At 53.4% G+C, this 19,599-nt stretch overlaps 1 protein-coding gene and 1 pseudogene across 6 annotated transcripts, besides 6 other annotated features; both read right to left on the reverse strand.

The window, feature by feature from the left end:
* Positions 1–41: 41 nt before the first annotated feature.
* SSTR3 (somatostatin receptor 3) lies at positions 42–16,353 on the reverse strand. 6 transcript variants are annotated; one of them, XM_017028924.2, is made up of 3 exons: positions 11,426–11,971; positions 10,707–10,839; positions 42–3,644 (listed from the first exon to the last, which is right to left on the reverse strand). In XM_017028924.2, exon 3 carries the CDS (start codon positions 3,606–3,608, stop codon positions 2,352–2,354), a length of 1,257 nt encoding a protein of 418 aa, XP_016884413.1. In that variant the 5' UTR covers positions 3,609–3,644; positions 10,707–10,839; positions 11,426–11,971; the 3' UTR covers positions 42–2,351. The 6 variants fall into 6 exon arrangements, with proteins under 6 accessions (XP_016884413.1, XP_006724374.1, XP_005261778.1 ...); XM_006724311.4 differs by lacking the exons at positions 10,707–10,839; positions 11,426–11,971 and adding exons at positions 6,350–6,494; positions 7,630–8,282; XM_005261721.5 differs by lacking the exons at positions 10,707–10,839; positions 11,426–11,971 and adding an exon at positions 16,212–16,353.
* Positions 7,121–8,100: an enhancer, noted in NCBI's record as "H3K4me1 hESC enhancer chr22:37607356-37608335 (GRCh37/hg19 assembly coordinates)". NCBI's record gives its function as "activates a minimal SCP1, AML or CMV promoter by ChIP-STARR-seq in naive H9 embryonic stem cells {active_cell/tissue: H9 hESC(naive)}" and the evidence as "EXISTENCE:reporter gene assay evidence [ECO:0000049][PMID:30033119]".
* On the reverse strand, positions 11,351–11,740 carry RPL39P41 (ribosomal protein L39 pseudogene 41; annotated as a pseudogene).
* Positions 11,946–12,025: a silencer, noted in NCBI's record as "silent region_13682". NCBI's record gives its function as "represses an Ori minimal core promoter by ATAC-STARR-seq in GM12878 lymphoblastoid cells {active_cell/tissue: GM12878}" and the evidence as "EXISTENCE:reporter gene assay evidence [ECO:0000049][PMID:35858748]".
* Positions 14,462–14,561: an enhancer, noted in NCBI's record as "active region_18950". NCBI's record gives its function as "activates an Ori minimal core promoter by ATAC-STARR-seq in GM12878 lymphoblastoid cells {active_cell/tissue: GM12878}" and the evidence as "EXISTENCE:reporter gene assay evidence [ECO:0000049][PMID:35858748]".
* Positions 14,592–14,761: an enhancer, noted in NCBI's record as "active region_18951". NCBI's record gives its function as "activates an Ori minimal core promoter by ATAC-STARR-seq in GM12878 lymphoblastoid cells {active_cell/tissue: GM12878}" and the evidence as "EXISTENCE:reporter gene assay evidence [ECO:0000049][PMID:35858748]".
* Positions 14,912–15,131: an enhancer, noted in NCBI's record as "active region_18952". NCBI's record gives its function as "activates an Ori minimal core promoter by ATAC-STARR-seq in GM12878 lymphoblastoid cells {active_cell/tissue: GM12878}" and the evidence as "EXISTENCE:reporter gene assay evidence [ECO:0000049][PMID:35858748]".
* Positions 18,588–18,727: a silencer, noted in NCBI's record as "silent region_13683". NCBI's record gives its function as "represses an Ori minimal core promoter by ATAC-STARR-seq in GM12878 lymphoblastoid cells {active_cell/tissue: GM12878}" and the evidence as "EXISTENCE:reporter gene assay evidence [ECO:0000049][PMID:35858748]".

Consider the following 19,599-nt stretch of genomic DNA (forward strand, 5'->3'; position numbering starts at 1 on the left):
ACAGTGTCTGGCGGAGAAATTGGCCCAGGCCACAGCTGTTATCAGGTGTCACCGTCTTTATTGACAAGAGCTAGAGACAGAAGCAGCAAAGGGTTTCCTAACTGGCCTCCCAGGGACCATTCTAGGACATTACTCTCCTGTCCTAGGCAGCAAGAAGGCAGGATCAGCCAGAGAAGGCCAGAAGGCCAGGGCATCCTTCCTCCCTTGGACCCTCAGATCTTCCTCAAGAAACCCCAGACCAAGTCCCAGGGCCGGGCCTCCAGCCTCCATCTCCACACAAAATGTGGTTTTGTAAACTTCCTTCTCTTCTGATGGTCCCACACTCTCCCCAAGCCCTGCCTCCCTAACCCTTGGCCTCTGACCCCCCAACTGCCCATTTCTCATGGCCTACAGTGTCCTCACCCCAAAGGACAGACACAGAGAGGCCACTTGATGGAGAGGGGGGTATAGGCCAAGCCTGGGGGTGAGGAGGGCACCCCCACTTTATAATCTGATACACCCCACCGTACCCATTGCAGTGAGCCTGGAAGTTACCTCACATGACTCATTTTCTCGTTAGATCCCAGGAGGCAGCCAAGCTGGGATTCATCTCCATTTGTTGATGGGGAAATTGAGGCCCGGAAGGCCAATGCCAGCCCAGGACCCTGAGGTGTGCTGAAGATCCAAGTCTCCAAAAGTCTGGTTCCTGTGCTTTCCCTGAGGACCCCTGCCCTCTGCAAGGGGTGGGGAAGCGGAAGGATTTCACCGGGGGTCTCACCCTCCCAGGGCCAGCCTCACCACAGCTCTGAGGGACCATCTCTGGGAGGGAGTCTAGGCCCAGCCTTGGATGGTGGCTGCTCCCCATGGTCCCCCTCCACAGTCCCACTTCAGCCTCTTCTTGTCTTCCCTGGGCCTCCCGACCTGTAGTCTCCAGGATGATAGAGCATGGGGAGGGAGCTCCCCAGTCCTCCCAATGTCCCTGGTAGCCAGCTCCACCCTAGGGCTTTATTAAGGCCTGAGCCCTCTTGGCAGCACTCTGAGGCCCCTCAGGGACGCAGGCCCTGTGCCTGTCTGTACTCTGTGCATTTGCCATTGCACCCTGGCTGTTCCACCCTGATCGTGTCCTTCCCTCAGTACTGGTTGGGTGGGGCTGTTGTCGGCAACTCAGGTTCACAGATGCTACCACTGAGCTCAGCCCAGGGGGGCCAAAGACGGCTCCAGGAAACAGATCTGTACTTCTCCTTCCCCCTCCTCATCCTCCCCTTTCCCCCTTGTCTTCCTCTTCCTTCTCCTTCCTCTTCCTCTTCTCCCTTCCTCTTCCTTCTCCTCACAGCGCTCTTCAGACACTCTGCCTTTCCATGCCAGTCCTCATGGGCTGGGTCCCTGTCTCGGTCTCCAGGAAGGGAGAATATGGGTCACAAGGAGAGGAACAGGGATGGCCCTTCCTACAAGGAGGTGCCTGGAAGCCCTCAAAAGACCTGGGAACCCCCGGGGGCCCCTACTCCAGCCATAAGACCCAACATGAGCTTCCTTGGGGATTGGGTGGCTGACCTCAGCAGGGGCAGAGCCAGGCTTTGGGTGGCCTAAGCTTATGCAGTTCGAGGTCCCTCTTTAAGAAAACGAATACAAAATGACAAGTACAAAAGTAGATGCAGGGCCTTGCAAAAGCCCAGGCAGTGAGAGACCCTGAAGCTGGACTTCATTCGCTTCCATGAGCAGGAAATTCACCTGCTCTTCCCGTCCAGGAGCACAGGACCTCCAGCATTGACTGCCTGGGCCAAAAGGGTGTAGAGGTTGTTGGGTTTTACCCAGGTGAAGCCTGAGGCCTAGAGAGGAGCAGAGCTGGTCCAAGGCCTCACAGTCGAGGGGAGGGAGCTGATCTGGGGCCTGACCATTTCTGCCCCACTCCTCCCACCGGGTTAGGCTTTCTTCTGTTTAGGTTTCCAGCCCAGCCCCCAGCAGCTCCTGTGTTCCTGACTCTGAGCCCAAGAAATCCTGGCCTTGGTTTATCCCTCTGAGGGCCAAGATTCTAGTTGATGCCCCAAGACACTCCATCCCTGGGGGGAGGCCAGTCTGCACCCACCTTTTGCCTGCTCAGCCAGGTCAGCCCAGCAACAGTGCCCTCCAAACCTCTCATCTGACATAGCTCATCCAGGCTGATGACTCCTATCCCTGAGTCACAGAGGAGAAAACAAGGCCCAGAGAGTAGAAGCAACCTACCCAAGGTCACACAGCAAGACCTGGCAGCAATAGCATCAAAGTCCAGGCCCCTCAACATCCCATCATGGGCCTGTGGCACCTTGGGAAGTAGGCCCTAGGCACACCCACGGCTTCTGCCTCTTCCTCGGGCCATCCTGGCTTTCCCCAGGCCCCTACAGGTAGCTGATGCGCATCGTGCTGGACTTCTCCCCAGTGGAAGCCTCTTGGGGTAGGAGCTGCTGCTCCTTGCTGGCCACTCTGCTGGGCGGCCGCTCCTGCCCGCTGGTGCCAGGCTGCGTGATCTGGCTGACCCGGCCGTTCATCTCCTTCCCCTTGCCCCCCTCCCTGCTCTCCTCCCCATCCTCCTCCTCCTCATCCTCCTCCTCAGTCTTCTCCGGGGGCCCCACAGTGGGCTCCTGGCTGCGCACACGGCGGGAGGGCCGCAGCAGGACCCTGCGGAAGCCCTGCTTGAAGCGGTAGGAGAGGAAGCCATAAAGGATGGGGTTGGCACAGCTGTTGGCATAGGGCAGCGCCACCACCAGGAAGTAGAGCCCAAAGAAGGCAGGCTCCTCGGGCAGTGGGCACACCACGTTGACGATGTTGAGCACGTAGAAGGGCATCCAGCAGAGCACGAAGAGCGCCACCACGGCCACCACCATGCGCGTGACCCTGCGTTCGGAGCGCCGCCGCCGCTGGCACGAGGGTGCCCACACCCGGCGCCCAGCTGAGCGCACCTTCACCACGATGAGCAGGTAGCAGAGGCAGATGACCAGCAGCGGCCCGAAGAAGCCCAGTGCGGCCGTGTAGATGATGAAGCCGGCTCGCCAGGCCGCCGCCGGCTCGGGCCACTGCATGTGGCAGGTGCTCATGCCGCGGGGCACTCCCGAGAAGACCACCACGGGCAGCACCACCACGGCTGAGGCCACCCACACAGCCGCGCTGACCGTGCGGGCCACCGGAGCTGTGCGCCAGCGGGCCGAGCGGGTGGGATGTACCACGGCCAGGTAGCGGTCCACGCTCATGACAGTCAGGCAGAATATGCTGGTGAACTGGTTGATGCCATCCACCGCCATGACCAGGCGGCACATGAGGGAGCCGAAGGGCCAGTAGGACAGGGCGTTCTGGGCGGCCAGGAAGGGCAGCCCCAGCATGAAGAGCTCGTCGGCCAGCGCCAGGTTGAGGATGTAGACGTTGGTGACTGAAGGGCTGGCCGTGTGCCGCAGGACCACATAGATGACCAGCGAGTTACCCAGCAGGCCCACCACGCACACCACCAGGTAGACCAGGGGGATCAGAACGCCACTGACGGCCAGCCCTGCCGGGCTTGGGCCCGCCGACACGTTGCCCAGGGTGGCATCTGGGGGCCAGGCCGAGGAGGCATTCTCAGGTTCTGAGGTCGTGGACACCGATGATGGATGAAGCATGTCCATGGCTGAGGGGAGGGTGGTCAGCAGTCAGCTATTTGCCTGGGGGAAGGAAAAACAGCTCGGTCACAGCAGAGAATGGCTTTCTCTGTGCTGCCCCCTCCCATCATGCCGAACCTGGGGACCTGCTGCACGCCCATCCTCCCATCGTCTGAGAGATTTCAGAAGATGGGAGGTGCTTAGCACGCACCATCTCATTCACCCCGCACAGCCCCGCAAGGCTGAGTCGTGTTATCCCCTTTTCTCAGATGAGGAAACTGAGGCTCAGGGAGGTGAGGTGATCATTCTCCATCGTGGAGTGAGGGTGTGGTGTGTGGCATGAAGTCATACTGTTTCACCAACAAATACCTGCCCTTCCTTTCTACATGTGAGGCCCCAGCTGGCAGGGCCCTGTGAAGTGGGTTGCATTGCCACCAACAGGTCTCGCCCTCACATCTGAAAAACACTGCTTCATATCACAGGACCTTCACCTGGAAACCTGCTCCCTAGATGAACTTCAGAGGATCCATGAACGCCCTAAACTCCAGGTGAAGGTTAATGTCAGATCTGTTATCAGATTCTTCAGGTTCCAAATGGAGTTAAGAACCACAGGCTTGGGGTGTCCCCTCCCCTGGGAGTCAGAGTCCTTAGGTGCCCCCTCAGCCTGGGCCATCCCACTGTGCCCCTCCCAAAGGCCCTGCCCAGGAAGGTTGGCTGTGAACCTGGGGGGCAGGTGGCTGAGGCCCCTTCTCCCCAGAGGCCGGCTGGGGTTGGAGAACTTTACAATTCACTTAGCAGATGCTATCCAAGAGTAGTCCCTCCCCCTGGCTGGAGGGGCCAGCTGCCTGGAAAAGGGGACATTTTCAGAAGGGATTTGCAGCATAAGCAAGAGCCCCCCCGCACTCCAGGTGCTTTCTTAGTGTCTTTCTCATCCCATGCCTGCGCAGAAGAAGCTGGGGCTCCTCTGGGCTCCCCTGCGAGACTCTGATCCCCTCCCCTGTGGAGTCTCCAGCCAGCTTTGGACCCTCCCCATTGCTTTCTGCCCCATCACTTCCGCACAGGCACGAGCTCTGCCTCAGTGTCAGGCATCAAATGAACCAGAGAAGCCTTCAGTGGACCAAGCCCAGTGCCAAGGGGGAATGTCAGGCCCCACTGAGGAAAGCCACGCTCAGGAGGAGGCCCAGGCAGAGCCAGGCTGGATGCAGGAGCCTCCTCTGGGGTCTGGACCACCCACTGCACCCCCTCTTCCTAATGATCCCCCAATCCCCTGGCTCCTGGCTGTCCTTGGATTCTCCCTGCAGAAAACCCTGAAGGGAAGATAAATCTCTCAGAGGAGAAGCCCTTCTTCTAATATCCCTGACACTGGGCCTGCACTTCCTCCCTCCAATGGGAGCTGTGGTCCGCACTGCCCTATATGGATGTCACTGTTGATGTGCAAAGCTCCTGGGAAGGGAAGGCACCCCAAATCCAAACAAACGCCTCTGAGCACGCCTGGCTACCCCTGCCCCAAGGACCTGGGGCTGCAGCGGGCTCAGAGTGCCAGGCTGGGTGAAGCCAAGGGTAGCAAGGAACCCCTAGGCCGTGGCTTCTCCAGCTGGCTGGGTTCAGAGCATCTCCTCCCTGTTCTTGGGGCTGGGAGAAGAGAAGGATTCTGAGCCTGGGTCATCCCCTAACCTGTCCTCAACCCATCCTTCTCCCCAACCCTTCATCAGGTCTCCTGAGCCTGGGACAGCAGCACTAAGGGAGGGGCACCTGGACAGTGGGCTAGAGGATCCTAACAGTGCTGCCAGCTGCTCATCACTGAGCCCTGACTGTGCCAGGTGCCAGGCTAAGCTGGTGAGCTGCAGTATCCTATGATGTCCTACGAGGGAGGCACTACTGTCATCCCCACTGCACAGATGGGGAGCAAACGTGAGGTCACATGTTCTGGTCACAGCTAGGAAGGGGCAAATCTGGAAAGATCTGTAGTGACCACCTCTACGCCCATTCCACAGGCTGGCAAACTGAAGCCAGGCCTGGGAAGGCACCCACCTGAGTGCCCAGCTGGCATCCGCTTTCCCAGTTGCCCCCAGGGCTTTGAGCTATGAGGATCATGGACTCAAAGCCTAATGGACCTTAGAGATCTAAAAATAGAATTTTGAATTCTTAGAACAGGCAGAGAATCTTACAGCCATAGGATTTTAGACTCAGTATCCTTGAATCAGAGAATGTTAGAATTCCAGAATGCTAGAATGAGTCCTTCTTAGACCTGGAATTGTGCAACCTGGAACCTTAGAGTCCTGCCTCCCTGGTAGGGGACCCGCGTCACCATCCACCTTGCTGCCCTGTGCTGTGCACAGATCCTCTTTATAGCATCCCTGCTGGTCAGCCAATCACAAGCCAGGGCTAGATGAGGGAGGGGAGCACCAGGCTCCTGAGAGAAGCAAGGAGCTGGGCAGGCCTAATTTCCAGGCTTCAGGGACATATGCCCCTGGGGTAGCCCGCTGGGGGTAAGCTCTGAGGTTGCCCCACCCCCACGCCTGCCCAGCACATGTCTGTGCACCCACAAGCGCATGCGCTGACACACACATGGTCCTGGCAGGAACACGGCGTGCCTAGCCAGACCCTCCTTTGTACCAGGGCATGCAGTCGCCCCTCCCAGAACCCCTGGCCCCCTCCTGGAAAACCCTGTCTCCACCCTTATCTCAGCCGGTCTTCCCTGTCAAAGTTTGAGGGGCCCAGGCAGCAGAAGCAGGGAAATTACAGCTTTCCACGCACGTAAGCCAGACCTGCAATTGAGGTGCCGTCTTTTCTTTAGAGCTGGAATCCTGTGCATGATCTAGTTCATCCTTGAGAAGGAGGGACTTTTCCTCCCTGTCTGGTTTATCTTTGGCACAAGCTTGCCTGAAAGCTGGGGGCGGACTCCTTGGAGGACTGTTCAGGAGGAGACAGCACAGAGAGGGTGAGTGGCTGTCCTGAGCCGCACAGCCCTAACAGTTCAGGGAGGCCAGGCACCCCAATCATTCTCCATTTGCCCATCTCCCACCCGCTAGAACACTGGCTCTTGAAGGCAGGGGCCCTGAATGATTTATTTCTTAACCCCAGAACCTAGGACATCACCCAGAACAGCCATAAATGTGAACAGCCAAGCCGTTCAACAAGGAGAGCTCCAAGGTGGGACATTGTCCCCGGATGGAAGCCTCAGACTCACATCATGAGATCCTCAAGAAGCCCAAGAGGGAGAGTTTTTAGAGAGGAAGAAGTTGAGGCTCAGAGAGGTTGAGTAAGCTGCAAAGGGTCACCCAGCTGGAGAGTGGGAAGCCAGAATTCGAACCCAGTTCTATCTACTTCTAAACCATCAGTACCTCCTGGCCACACTGGCTCCTCTGAAGGCCTCAGGCTGAGAAGGATCAAAGGCCATGACAGTCCTGAATAGTGCAGGGCGATGGCCCCTGGCTCTCTGCTTGTCCTCTACATGCTTCGGCCTTCCCCCCAAAGACACCTGGCTTATGCTTGCCAGTGCCGACTGACTCACTGGCACCCCAGGCCTGGGGCCTGATCCCAGGAGCACACCCTACAGGCCCAGCGCTGGGGGCTTGGGCTCTGCTGCACAGCGATGATGCCAAATTGCTGTGTGACCTCGGGCAAGTCACTTCTCCCCGCTGCACCTCAGTTTCGTCATATGGAAGACAAGCGGACCCACCTCCCAGGGTTGTTTGCAGAGATTAAACGGAGGCGTGCCAAGCACAGTGCCGGGTATGGAGGGGGAGCTCAGGAGAGCTGCCACGTGAGCTGGGGAAGCCAACGACATGATACATCTGGCTCCCTCCAGCCCTGACAGCCTGCGATTCTGTGATTCCGAGATCCTAGAATCATGGCACGAGATTCTGAGACTAACGCCCCTGCCCCTGCAGCCGACCGGGAGGTCACAGGAAGGCCTCCCTCCTGCCTCCCTGGGAGTCCCCACCCTCTGCCTCCCCAGCCCCAGCCTCCCAAGTTCATCCTGGGCAGAGGATGGGCTTCCAGGACCCCACCCTTCGGGACATCATCCGGGCCCCAGCCTCCTTACCTGCCCATGGGGTGAGGGCTTCCCTCCTTGCCGCCAGGCTGGTTATCATTCTGCTGTCCCCTCTCCCTGCCCAGTCCCCAGGTGCCCCCAGGGCACTCCTAACTAGGGTCCCCACAAGGCACCCACTTCTAGACCGCTTGCGGGCTCAGGTTCCCTCCCAGGCCCTCGGCCACGGCTGTCCACAGAGCCTCTCCCATCTGGTCTCCGGCCCTGACTTCCCAACCAGAGCCTGGTACGTCACCCCCCATCTCCAGGACACATCCTGGGGGGGCAGGGGCAAGGATAGGGGGGAGAAGCTTCCCAGGGTGAGGAAGAGAAGAGGGGAGCAAGGGACACAGAAGCCAATAGAAATAGAGGGGAAAGGGGGTCGGGAGGAGGTGGAGAAAGAGAGAGAGAGAGAAAGAGGGAGGGGGAGAGAGAGAGAGGGAGAGGGAGAGGAGACCGTGAGTAGGAGGAAAGGCAGAATGAGGGGGAGTGATGAGAGATGCGTGACAGGGAGAAGACGAGAAGGAAAGAGAGGAGAGGAGACACGGGTGAGAGGGAGAGATGCAGAGAGAGGCAGGAGGGAGGAAGGAGAATGAGGGGGTGGCAGGGAGAGTGACAGAGAGGGACTGTGCCACAGATGGTGACATGGAGCCCGTGAAGGAGGGAGTAAGCAGGGAGGGGCTGAGGGCCGGAGAGCAGGTGTGGGGGGTGGGGGCGGGGTGCAGGTTAAGGGAGGAGGCCCGGAGAGGGAGCAGGAGGGGCGCAGACCCTGTTACCGGGGAGATTTCAGCCACCCACGCCCGCTGGCCTTGGCTCCTGCAGGGAGTTGGAGAGAAGAATGTGCTCAGTGCTCAGGGGAGCCGAGGCTGCCAGCCAGTAGCCAGAGCAGCTCGTGAGGCCACTGCGGCACAGGTCCCCCGGGGCAGCAGCTGTGTCCCAAGGCAAGGCTGGGTGTGGGGCTGGCCAGCCCGGGAGTCCACAGTCCAGCCCTGCAGTCGGGCACACCGGCCGCAGCACGGACCACTGGGGAGGCCGGGTGGGGGTCATTAGTCCTGGGATTGGTTACATCTGGAGAGCCCCAGGCAGGGTGAGGAGTGGAAGGACAGAACAGAGAACCAATATTTTAGGCTTTGAGGGCAAAATCATTGTGCAGTGAGAAAACAGATTTTTACTATTTTGTAACTGACAAAACTCAAAATAGAATAATAATAATTGAGGCCAGTATTTTGTAATGTAGGTCCACTCATGAGAAGAATAGAGTTCTTTTTACAGACATCACCTTTTGCTTAATTGGAGTTTAGAGTTAGTGTTTCATCAAACCGATTGCAAATGTTCATCCGTAAAAACCATTCTCAGCTCCTAGGCTGTACAAAAACAGGCAGTGGGTGGGATTTGCCCCGTGGGCCATATTTACTGATCTTTGGTCTAAGAGACTCTGCCGTACAGTCCTGAGCACAGGCCCAGATGTCTTGGGATGCCGTGCCCCTGCCTGTGCTGATTCCTGCCTCAGCACAGGAGTGATAAGGAAAGGAACAGTCAGAGACGGAAGGGAAAAGGACACACGTCTTGGCTGAGCACCTACTATGTGCCAGGCTGTACCTAGGCTGCTTTCCAAACTGGGCCATTCCCTGGGACCAGGGCTGGACCTCCTTTGTCACTAGGTACCTGGCACTGCAGAGAACTGGAAGTTGAATGCATCCAGAGGTGCCACCATGCATGCGGCAGCACACAGTAGGACACACCCACTTCCAGCCGGAGCCGGCCTGGTCTCTTAACGCTGCCCGTCCCTTTGCCTTGTGCCCGGGACAAGGCCCTTGCTCCAGGTCTCAGCCTCCCATTGTCCTTGTCCGTACAAGTTCATGAGGTGTGGGTGGGCTCCTGGGAGCGTGTCCTCAGGGTCAAGGGTGGGTTTTCCATGGCACTGACCACCCACCCCTACCCACGGCTTCTCACTGCCCTCAGAATAAAGCTCTCTCGCCGCAGCCCACCTGGCACTGCATCCTTGATTCCTGCCGCCTGCGCGGGCCTCCTCCTCTGCTGATTTCACTCGCTCCTCTGTGCCCCAGGCGTACCCAGCCTCATGTATTCATTCACTTATTCCTGCAGGTTGGGGTATAGGGGCTGAAGACTGGACAGGGGAGTTTGAGCCCCAGCTCTACCCCTGCCGTGCACTGAACTTAAACTTCGGTTTTCTCCTTCAGTAGATTGTACACACCTGACTGCCTGGCCTGGGGGTTCTTGCGAAGGTTAAAGGAGTGAATGCTCATCAGTGTGCCCCCTGCCACACACCTCCCCAGCACCGAGCCTTACTGCTCCAGCCTGGAACCCGTCCACTGCTCTCCATCCACAGGCTCCCGTCTGAGCCAGGCCACTGAAGGGGTTCAGGACACGCCACCCCAGAATACACCACTCTGGCATATTGATTTCTCTGCACTAAAGGCACTTCAGAAACAGCAGGTGCAGAAAGGGGGCTCTGACCTCCCCTTTTCTTCCTGAAAGCAGGAGCTAAAACGCCTTGTGAAAGACGCCCTCCCTATGCCAGGAGGAGGAAAGACATTACCAGATAAGGAGAGTCGAGGCCAAAAGAAATCTGTATGAACAGATCTTTTAATCCTTATCTTCCTAGTTACACAATTGCCATTCTATGTTCAACCTGGTACAAAAGCCTTTATGCCTAGTCACTTCTTTGGGTCTTGGTCATTTGGGCGGGAGGCGGGGGGGCTCCCTTGTACATGTAAATGAAATCTGTATGTTTTTCTCCTGCTGATCTGCCTTATGTCAGTTTAATTCTTCAGCCCAGCCAGAGACCCTAAGACAGTAAAGAAGGGTTTTTCCTCCTCCACCCCACCATCACCTTGTACTCCCCTGCTTCCACCCTCGCCCCCTACTCAGCAGAGAGAGTGAGTCCATTACAAACATAAGTCATCCCAGCTGCCTCCTTGAGAACCTCCTATGGCCACCTGTTCCTCGTCAAATAAAATCCACAGTCCCGACCGCGGCCTAGGGACCCCATGTAACGAGCCTCAGCCTGCGCTTCCGCCACTCGGCCCTCTTCTCGTTCTAAAGCACCAGGGCCTCCATCTGAAACTCACCGGTGCCGCGAGTCCCTAGCAGGCCACTCCGGGTCCCCCTCTTCACCTTCAGCCTGGTTAGGCATCCCCTGCTCTGGCAGCCTTCTCCAGAGCCCTCCCCTTCTCCAACACTCCCTCCTTCAGGATTCCTTATCTGTAATGCAATGATTTTTTAATTTGCTTTTATTTTATCAAAGTACTGTTTGCAAGTAAATTTAGAAACCAGTAGAATAGTCCCCGCTTTATGCCCCTTATGCCTCGGTGCATACATCCCAATACCCTGAGTGGATGCCTGAATCCGTGGATTATAGTGAACCTGTATATATATGCTATTATTTTTTCCTGTATGATGTTTTACATACCCATGGTAATTTTTTTTTTAAAAGAAACAGGGTCTCCCTATGTTGGCCAAGCTAGCCTCAAACTCCAGGCCTCAAGCAATCCTCCCACCTCAGCTTCTCAAAGTACTGGGATTATAGGCATGAGCCACCTCGCCCAGCCTGATAATTTTTTTCTTTTTTTTGAGACGGAGTCTCGCGCTGTTGCCCGGACTGGAATGCAGTGGTGCGATCTTGGCTCACTGCAACCTCCACCTCCCAGGTTCAAGCGATTCTCCTGCCTCAGCCTCCCGAGTAGCAGGGATTACAGGCTGATAACTTTTTTTTAAATAAAAGATCTCACCTATGTATTACTGAACCCAGCCTACTAGTGCAGAGCATATGAACAAAGAGAAAAAGTACCTTCCCAATCAAACATGTCCAGCTGTCCAGATAGTGGTGACATTTTCAGCTTGCTATGGTAATATGATCACAACCTTGATACAACATGAATATGTGTAGCATCTCATGCTCAATTCCTTATAGACCCAGCTTGGTTCTTTCCAATATCTCCTTTTGGAGCTGTACCTGATGTTATTACCAGTTTTCATACAGATCCACTGGGGAATGGGACAATTTTGCTTTTGTTTCTTGTGCAGGAATCACTTGATCCTGAAAGTCTTGTGAGAAGCTGTGGCGAGAAACGGAGTCAACCACACACCACGATGGTGGAGAAAGATAATGTTTAACTTATAAATTAGGCACAGTTAAGAGACGAACAGCAATAATTAATAATACAATATACAATAAAACAATATAACAATATATCATAACAGAAGTTATATGATGGTGACCTCTCTGTCTCTTTTTCTTTCAAAATCTATTAATATTTTTAGACTGTGGTTGACCACAGGTAACTGAAACTGCGCTAAGTGGACTACTGTAGCGCTGAAAAGGTTTGTAACAGCAAAAAACAGCAGTCCTCCCCCATCCCTCCCACCCCCCCATCCCACAGGTAATCCCACCCGCTCGGCAATTGCTCCCTCAGTTAAGCTCTTTCTCGCTAAATATCATATTGATTTTTTTATGTCTTAATCCCTCAATTTTACCCATTATCTACTGACTCCTCTTACAGTACAGGAGAAGTTTACATTTCTTACGCACTCTCACCCCTTCTCCCCATCTTCTCAATATGAGTTTCGGTTAAATGCATATCCAGTGTTCCCATGATTAATGCAATGTAAATATTATTTCCTGCTCAGCCAGGAGTTCATAATTGCTTCGTTTTTTGGTTTTTAAAAATATCTTCGATTTCTTGGACTAAGCATTTCCACACGTTCCTATAGCTTCGTAAAAACCACACAGTGGAGTTTCCAGAGTCCAGCCTCAGGGACGATTTCGTCCTGGAGACTGACGAGCTCCTCTTATCTGGGCCAGCTGCCCCTTGGGCCTGTGCGCAGCTGACATCCCGAGATTCTCTCTCCATTGTTGTTTGGGGATTCCCTTCAGCTTTTTCCTGTATGAATCCAGTTCCTTAGATTCCATGTCTTCCTTTTTGATGTTTTACTCTCTCATTTTATGGGGGCCTTGGGGTTTTTTTGTTTTGTTTTGTTTTGTTTTTGAGACAGGGTCTTGCTCTGTCACCCAAGCTGGAGTGCAGTGGTTCAATCTCGGCTCACTGCCACCTCTGCCTCCCAGGCCCAAGCGATCTTCTCACCTCAGCCTCTTGAGTAGCTGGGACTACAGGTGCATGCCACCACACCCAGATAGTTTTTGTATTTTCGGTAGAGATGGGGTTTTGCCATGTTGCCAAGGCTGGTCTTGAACTCCTGGGCTCAAGTGATCCACCTGCCTCAGCCTCCCAAAGTGCTGGGATTACAGGCGTGAGCCACCGCGCCTGGCCTCCTCTCTCATTTTGATGTAGCATAGCTCCCAGTAACTTTCAGAGAAGGTGTGCATGTTTCAAAATAGTGAATTCCCCTCTCACACATGTTGATAGGTAGGCTAGGTATAGAATTTGAGATTGAGAATGACTCTGACTCAGCTGATGGAAGGCGTCTGTCGGTGTCTCCAGCTTCCAGCACAATTCTTAATCCCAATCCATTGTGTAACTTAAGCTAATTTTTTTATTATTATTATTCTGGAATCTTCTAGGATCTTTGCTTTATCCTTAAATTTCTGAAAATTTTATAACAAGATTTGATTCTTTTTTCATTTGTCTTCGGGGGCACCAAGTAGCCTTTTAATCTGAAGATTTGTGTTCTTCAGTTCTGAGACACATTTTTCTGTTATTTCCTTCTGTAACTCCTATTATATTTGAATATTGGGTCTCCTGGATGAAATCTTTATTCTTCTTGTTGCTCATCTTTATAATTTTGTTCTACTTCCTGGGAGGTTTAAAAAAATCTGTTTTTCTCTTCCAGTCCCTCTTTTTTTAAATCAACCTATTTTTCATTTCCAAGAGCTCTCTCCTGTTTTTTATTTTATTTTTTTGTTTGTTTGTTTGTGTTTTTTGAGACAGACAGTCTCGCTCTCTCACTCTGTCACCCAGGCTGGAGTGCAGTGGCACAATCTCAGCTCATTGCAACCTCCGCCTCCTGGGTTCAAGTGATTCTTCTGCCTCAGCCTCCTGAGTAGCTGGGATTACAGGCACATGCCACCACACCCAGCTAATTTTTGTAATTTTAGTAGAGACAGGGTTTCACCATGTTGGTCAGGCTAGTCTCAAACTCCTGGCCTCAAGCAATCCATCCACCTCGGCCTCCCAAATTGCTGGGATTACAGGAATGAGCTACTGAGCCCAACCAGCTCTCTCCTGATTTCTGCCTGCTCTTTGCTATGGCATTCTGTACTCATTTGTGGATATATGTTTCCTTATCTCTTCAAGGATGGCAATGATGGTTTTGTCAAAATTTTCTTCTGCTCACTGCATCATCTTTATTGCTTACTGATATTCCTTTTCTTCTACTTATTTGATTGGGTCTCTTTCATTTATCATTTGGGGCAATGCTATCATTAGAGCCTTCTTCAACCAGTCATCCTGTGTTAGCCACTCCTGTTTCAGAATGAGGCATTAAGCCCGGGCATGGTGGCTCACACCTGTAATCCCAGCACTTTGGGAAGCTAAGGCAGGAGGATCACCTGGGGTGGGAGTTCGAGACCAGCCTGACCAACGTGGAGAAACCCCGTCTCTACTAAAAATACAAAATTAGCCTGGCGTGGTGGCGCATGCCTGTAATCCCAGCTACTCAGGAGGCTGAGGCAGGAGAATCGCTTGAACCCAGGAGGTGGAGGTTGTCATCCCAGTAGCCACAGCAAGTCACATGGCCAAGCCCAGCATCAGGGGAGAGGGGAAACACGCCCCTCCCATAGAGGGTGTGTCAATCTCTCTCTGGAGCATGGTAGGAGTGATGGGTAGGGAGGGTAGGAGTGGAGGAGTGATTATTTGCAAGGCATCATCGAATTGACATCTCCAAAAGCATTGTGGTGCCTCACCCCCACTCTGCCCTGTAGCGAATGTCTCTGGGTCCAGAGAACTCTGGCTGAATACTCCTTGCTGGGGTTAGGGAGGGGTGGGTGCCTGACCACGTAATGGAAAAGAGAAGACCTGGGGTGGTGCTGGGGGATCTCACTCCTCCTAAGCAGACTTCCACACAACCCCTGTTTTCAGCCTCCTGCCTCACCATCCATGATGTCTGGGTTCCCTAATTCTAAGCCTCCCCAGGGTTCTGCAAGACCAGGTGATTTGCATCTTTTCTGTCTCCAAAGCCCCTACTCCACCCCACCATGTAGCAGCAGGCACTTAGGTTTGCCTTCCTCAGCTCTGTTCAATCATTTACCACCCTCCATCTGCTCTTGCTGCTCATACATTGTGGTTTGGGGTTACAGGTGTCTCCTGGCTTCTTTGAAGGTGGGAGTTTGTGTTTCTGTTTCTTGTTCTCCTTCTTGTCGTGGCTGCTTTTCAGCGAGGAGGTGGGGGTGGAAACATCTCTACCCTAGCGCCTTGAGACGAGAGTCTCTTCCTTTCTGTATTGAATATATTTCTGTGATCTGTGGATCAAGCCACATGGTGGATGTCTATTTACACGTCTGTCTCTCCCACTGGCTTCTGAGCTGCTGGTGCGCAAGGGGCTGTGCCTCACCCCTCTCTGCACCTCCAGCTCCTGCCACAGCTTGGTGTGAAGCACATAGTTAATAGGTGGGAACTGTATTGAATTTTGGATTCTGCAAAAAACTGCTCATTTTACCTTCCTTGAGGTCCTCTCCGGAAGCCTTCTAGGGATATCCTGGATCTGCCTCTCCCTCTCCGGGACCTGTCCTGCTCTGCCTCCCATATCATGTGAGAGCTGGATGGAGTCAGATGTCCCCAAATGTCAGTATCTCTCTGGAGCGTGGTAGGAATGGTGGGTAGAGAGGAGAGGTCAGAGATCGGAGGAGCAGATAACGAAGAGTCTAGACTCCAAAAAGTCAAGGTTTCAGTATCAGTACCTGTGTCACAAACCACCCCAAAATGTAGTGGCTTACAATAGCCATGTTATTATCCCTCATGATTCTGTGGGTTGGCTGGGCTCATTCAGGCCATTCTTTTTCTTTGATGGTGGCTGACTGCGAGTCACCTGGAGACTCAGCTAGGCCGGCACATCCAGGTCAGCTCTTGTACATGGCTGGCACCTGGCTGGGGTGGTTGGAGGCTGGGCTCAGCTGGGTCGCTGGCATGGTTCAGTCTCTCTATTTTCATTAAAGTCCATTCTTTCACCCACTTACTCATTTGTACAAATAACATTCATTCTGCATGGATTAGGTGGCCAGGACTCACTAGGGCCTTAGTGTAAAACAAAACACGCAGGTCCTTCTGTGTGTTTGAGCTTACAGTCTAGACGGGAAGCACTTTTTGAATAAATACACCTATTTAATAAACAATTATAAACAGTGATGAAGACTGTTCTTCAACAGAGGCACCAAGAGAGAAGCAGGAGGAGGAGGTGATCGAGATTGAGTGTGGGGTGATTGTGGAGGAAGATCTGGGAGAGTAGGTGCTATGTGTGGAAGGAGCGGCTTGAGCAAGGGTCCCAAGGTAGAAGGGGCCTGGCACACAGTGAAAATCCTGGGAGCAGCCTGCATTAGTCTGTTCTCACACTGCTAATAAAGACATACCCCCAGCCTGGCCAACATGACAAAACCCCGTCTCTACTAAAAATACAAAAACTACCTGGGTGTGGTGGCACATGCCTGTAGTCCCAGCTACTCAGGAGGTTGAGGCAGGAGAATTGCTTGAACCTGGGAGGTGGAGGTTGCAGTGAGCTGAGATCATGCCATTACATTCCAGCCTGGGCAACAGAGCAAGACTCTATCTCAAAAAATAAAACAAAATAAAAAATAAAAGTAAAGACATACCCAAGGCTGGGTAATTTATAAAGGAAAGAGGTTTAATTGCCTCACAGTTTAGCATGGCTGGGGAATCCTCAGGAAACTTACAATTATGGCAGAAGGGGAAGCAAACGCATCCTTCTTCACATGATGGCAGGAAGAAGTGCCAAGCAAAAGGGGAAAACCCTTATAAAACCATCAGATCTTGTGAGAACTCACGTACTATCACGAGAACAGCATGGAGGTAATCGTCCCCCTCCCCCATGGTTCAATTACCTCCCACTGGGTTCCTCCCACCTGGATTATGGGATTCAATTACCTCCCACTGGGTTCCTCCCTTGGGATTATGGGAACTACAATTCAAGAGGAGATTTGTGTTGGGACACAGCCAAACCAGATCACAGCCCTTGTGGCTGGAGCTTTGCAAGGAAAGGGAAGATAGTGCCAAGTGAGATCTGGAGGTAGAAACTGACAACATCCTATAGGCCTTGTAGGTGAGGGAGGAGGTTTCGTGCCAAATGTCCAGAGATACCACTGGACGGTGTTATACAAGGGAGTGGTCTGATCTGATTGGTAGTTTAACGCGATCACTCTGGCCACTCCGTGGAGATAAACCATGGCCAAGGGCAAGAGTGAAAACAAGAAGGCCAGTCAGGAGGTGTGAGCATTAGGATTGGTGCTCAGTTGGTGCTCAGCAAATATTTCCTTTCCTCCAAGTCTGGGAAGAGTTCCTGTCCCTGCCCCATTGGTGGTGTTGGGCTCGGCCATGTGAAGCATGAGCAGAGGCCTTAAACACCTCATGGTTTGGCTTGGCTTCTCATGCTCCTGTGATCCACAATGAGAAGGACATGCCCCAGGGAATGCTGGTCTAAGGAGGATGAGAGACAGGTGGAGCCGACCCACACACACCCACAGCCAGGACCGAGACCACCCATCCCCAGCCCGAAGCCAAGTCACCAGCCAAACCCTCCTAAGTCAGCAGACCCACTGTCCACCTACAACTAGTGAGTGTGAGAATACAGGCCTGCTGCTTCTTGCCTCTGGATTTCAAGGCAGTTTGGTTTGTTACACAGCATTATTGTACCAATTGCTGACTATGACAGGAGGCTACCACAGGGAGGATACAGTGCTGGTTTGGACATTAGAAACCATGACAATGCAGAGAAGGGGGTCACTGAGGAGATTGTCGGTGATGGGTTGGAAGTGGAAGGTGAGGGAGAAGGTGTCAAGGAGGACTCCCAGGTTTTTGATTTGAGAGCCTGGATGCATTTACTGAGTGATGAAGGCTGGGCGGGGCGTGTGAGTTTGAAATGCTCAGGAGACATCCAAGCAGAAGGGCCATTTCCTGGGGCTCTCTGCTGGCTGGACAGCCTCCCCACTGGCCTGTGAGCTCCTGAGAGCGGGCTCATGCTTGACCCACCCCCAAGCCTTGGGCTTGACACACGGTCTCAATAACTATTTGCTGAAGGATTCAATGATTGAATAAGTCTGTGGTTCTATCAGCATTTTTGACTGCACAGTTGTTTGTAAATGAGGAAAATCCCCAGGCCACCTGGTGGCAAATGGAGTAGAGGCAGAGAGAGGGAAGACAGGAGGCCAGTGAGGAGGCTGTGGCTACTGTCCAGGGGAGACATGGCAGGGGTTAGGTTAGGGAGCAGCCGTGGGGACAAGGGGTGGATTTAATAGACAGAGGCTGAATTGTCCAAGCTTGGTGGCCAGTGAATGCCAGGGTGAAAGGATCGGAGGAGTTTGGGGGACCCCAGGCCTCCGCTTTGAAGAAGGGACAAGGAACAGCCAGTCTCTAGAATAGAAAGCACCAGATGAAGTGGCCTTGTCTGGCAGGCACTTTCCTCAACCACCAGGCCATGATTTCATTGCAAGAAGGGGCGAAGTGAGGCATGGAACCTGCTGCCAGCCCAGGCCTGGCACTAGGTGGGCACTTGGGAGGGGTTGTTGTCACATGAAAGAGCAAACCATGGTGTCAGCTCCTGCCCACAACCGGCAGGTCTTCCTGTTTCAAAACAGGTTCTCATTGACTTCCCATAAGCTTTCTCTTTCCTATATGAGGGGCCTCCATCCTCAGCCAATTTGCAGAGCAGAAACAAGTGGCTCACCCCACTTGGAGTGGCTGCTGGGAACAGTTATACAGTGGGAAGAGCACTGCGCTAGGAGTCCTACCGCTTCAGTGACAAATGCTGTCAGCTTACCGTAACAAAAGGTGTGACCAACGGTGACATTAACAATTGGGTGGTTTCATTTTCTTCAGTTCCCATAACAAGGCAGCTGTTAGCATTGGCTCAGCTGCCCACTGCTGCTGCCAGGAACTCACGCTCCTTTTATCTTTCTGCTCATCCCCTCTCAGCACGGGGCCTTGTATCTTCATGTTTGTGGCTTCAAGCTCACAAGACGGCTGCTGCAGCTCCAGACATCCCACCTGTCATTTTTTTTTTTTTTTTTTTTTTGAGTCTTGCTCTGTCACCCAGGCTGGAGTGCAGTGGCGCAATCTCGGCTCACTGCAAGCTCCGCCTCCCGGGTTCACACAATTCTCCTGCCTCAGCCTCCCGCATAGCTGGGACTACAGGCGCCCACCACCACACCCGGCTATTTTTTTGTATTTTTTAGTAGAGACGGGGTTTCACCGTGTTAGCCAGGATGATCTCGATCTCCTGACCTCGTGATCCGCCCACCTCAGCCTCCCAAAGTGCTGGGATTACAGGCGTGAGCCACCGCGCCCGGCCTGGGCCTGTCATTTTTTTAAGGAAGAAAACAACTTTCACAGAAGCCATCTCTCCCGCTGACTTTCATTCACATCGGCTTCTAGGCCAGAACTATGTGGCCTGAAAACCCCAGTGACAAAACCAGCTGGAAAAACGAGTATTTTGTTGGTGTTAGGTACGGTGCTGCTATGCACAAAACTAGGATTCTGTTAGCAAGGAGGATGGGAACAGAGGGAGAGGGTGGGAAAGGACAGCATCTGCCTTGTCAATTTGAGCCAAACCTGTGCCCTCCCGCATCCTCATCTCCTCTTCTGCAAACCGTGGCTAAGAGTACCTATCTTGGAAGGCTATTAGAACATTAAATGAGATAATATGTGCATGGGAGCCAAGACAATGAGTAAAGGAAGTTATTTACTGACATTATTATCATATAGAAGCAAAGATTGTCTCTACTGGGGTCGACCTAACGGGCTGAACACACATGGAAGGAGATCCGGGCCCACCTTTGCCCTG

Source organism: Homo sapiens, chromosome 22 (assembly GCF_000001405.40).
Source record: "Homo sapiens chromosome 22, GRCh38.p14 Primary Assembly".
Taxonomy (NCBI): Eukaryota; Metazoa; Chordata; class Mammalia; order Primates; family Hominidae; genus Homo; species Homo sapiens.

What these genes read in the sequence shown, in the direction of transcription:
- SSTR3 (XM_005261721.5), bottom strand. Translation starts at nt 3,608, where the DNA reads ATGGACATGCTTCATCCATCATCGGTGTCCACGACCTCAGAACCTGAG.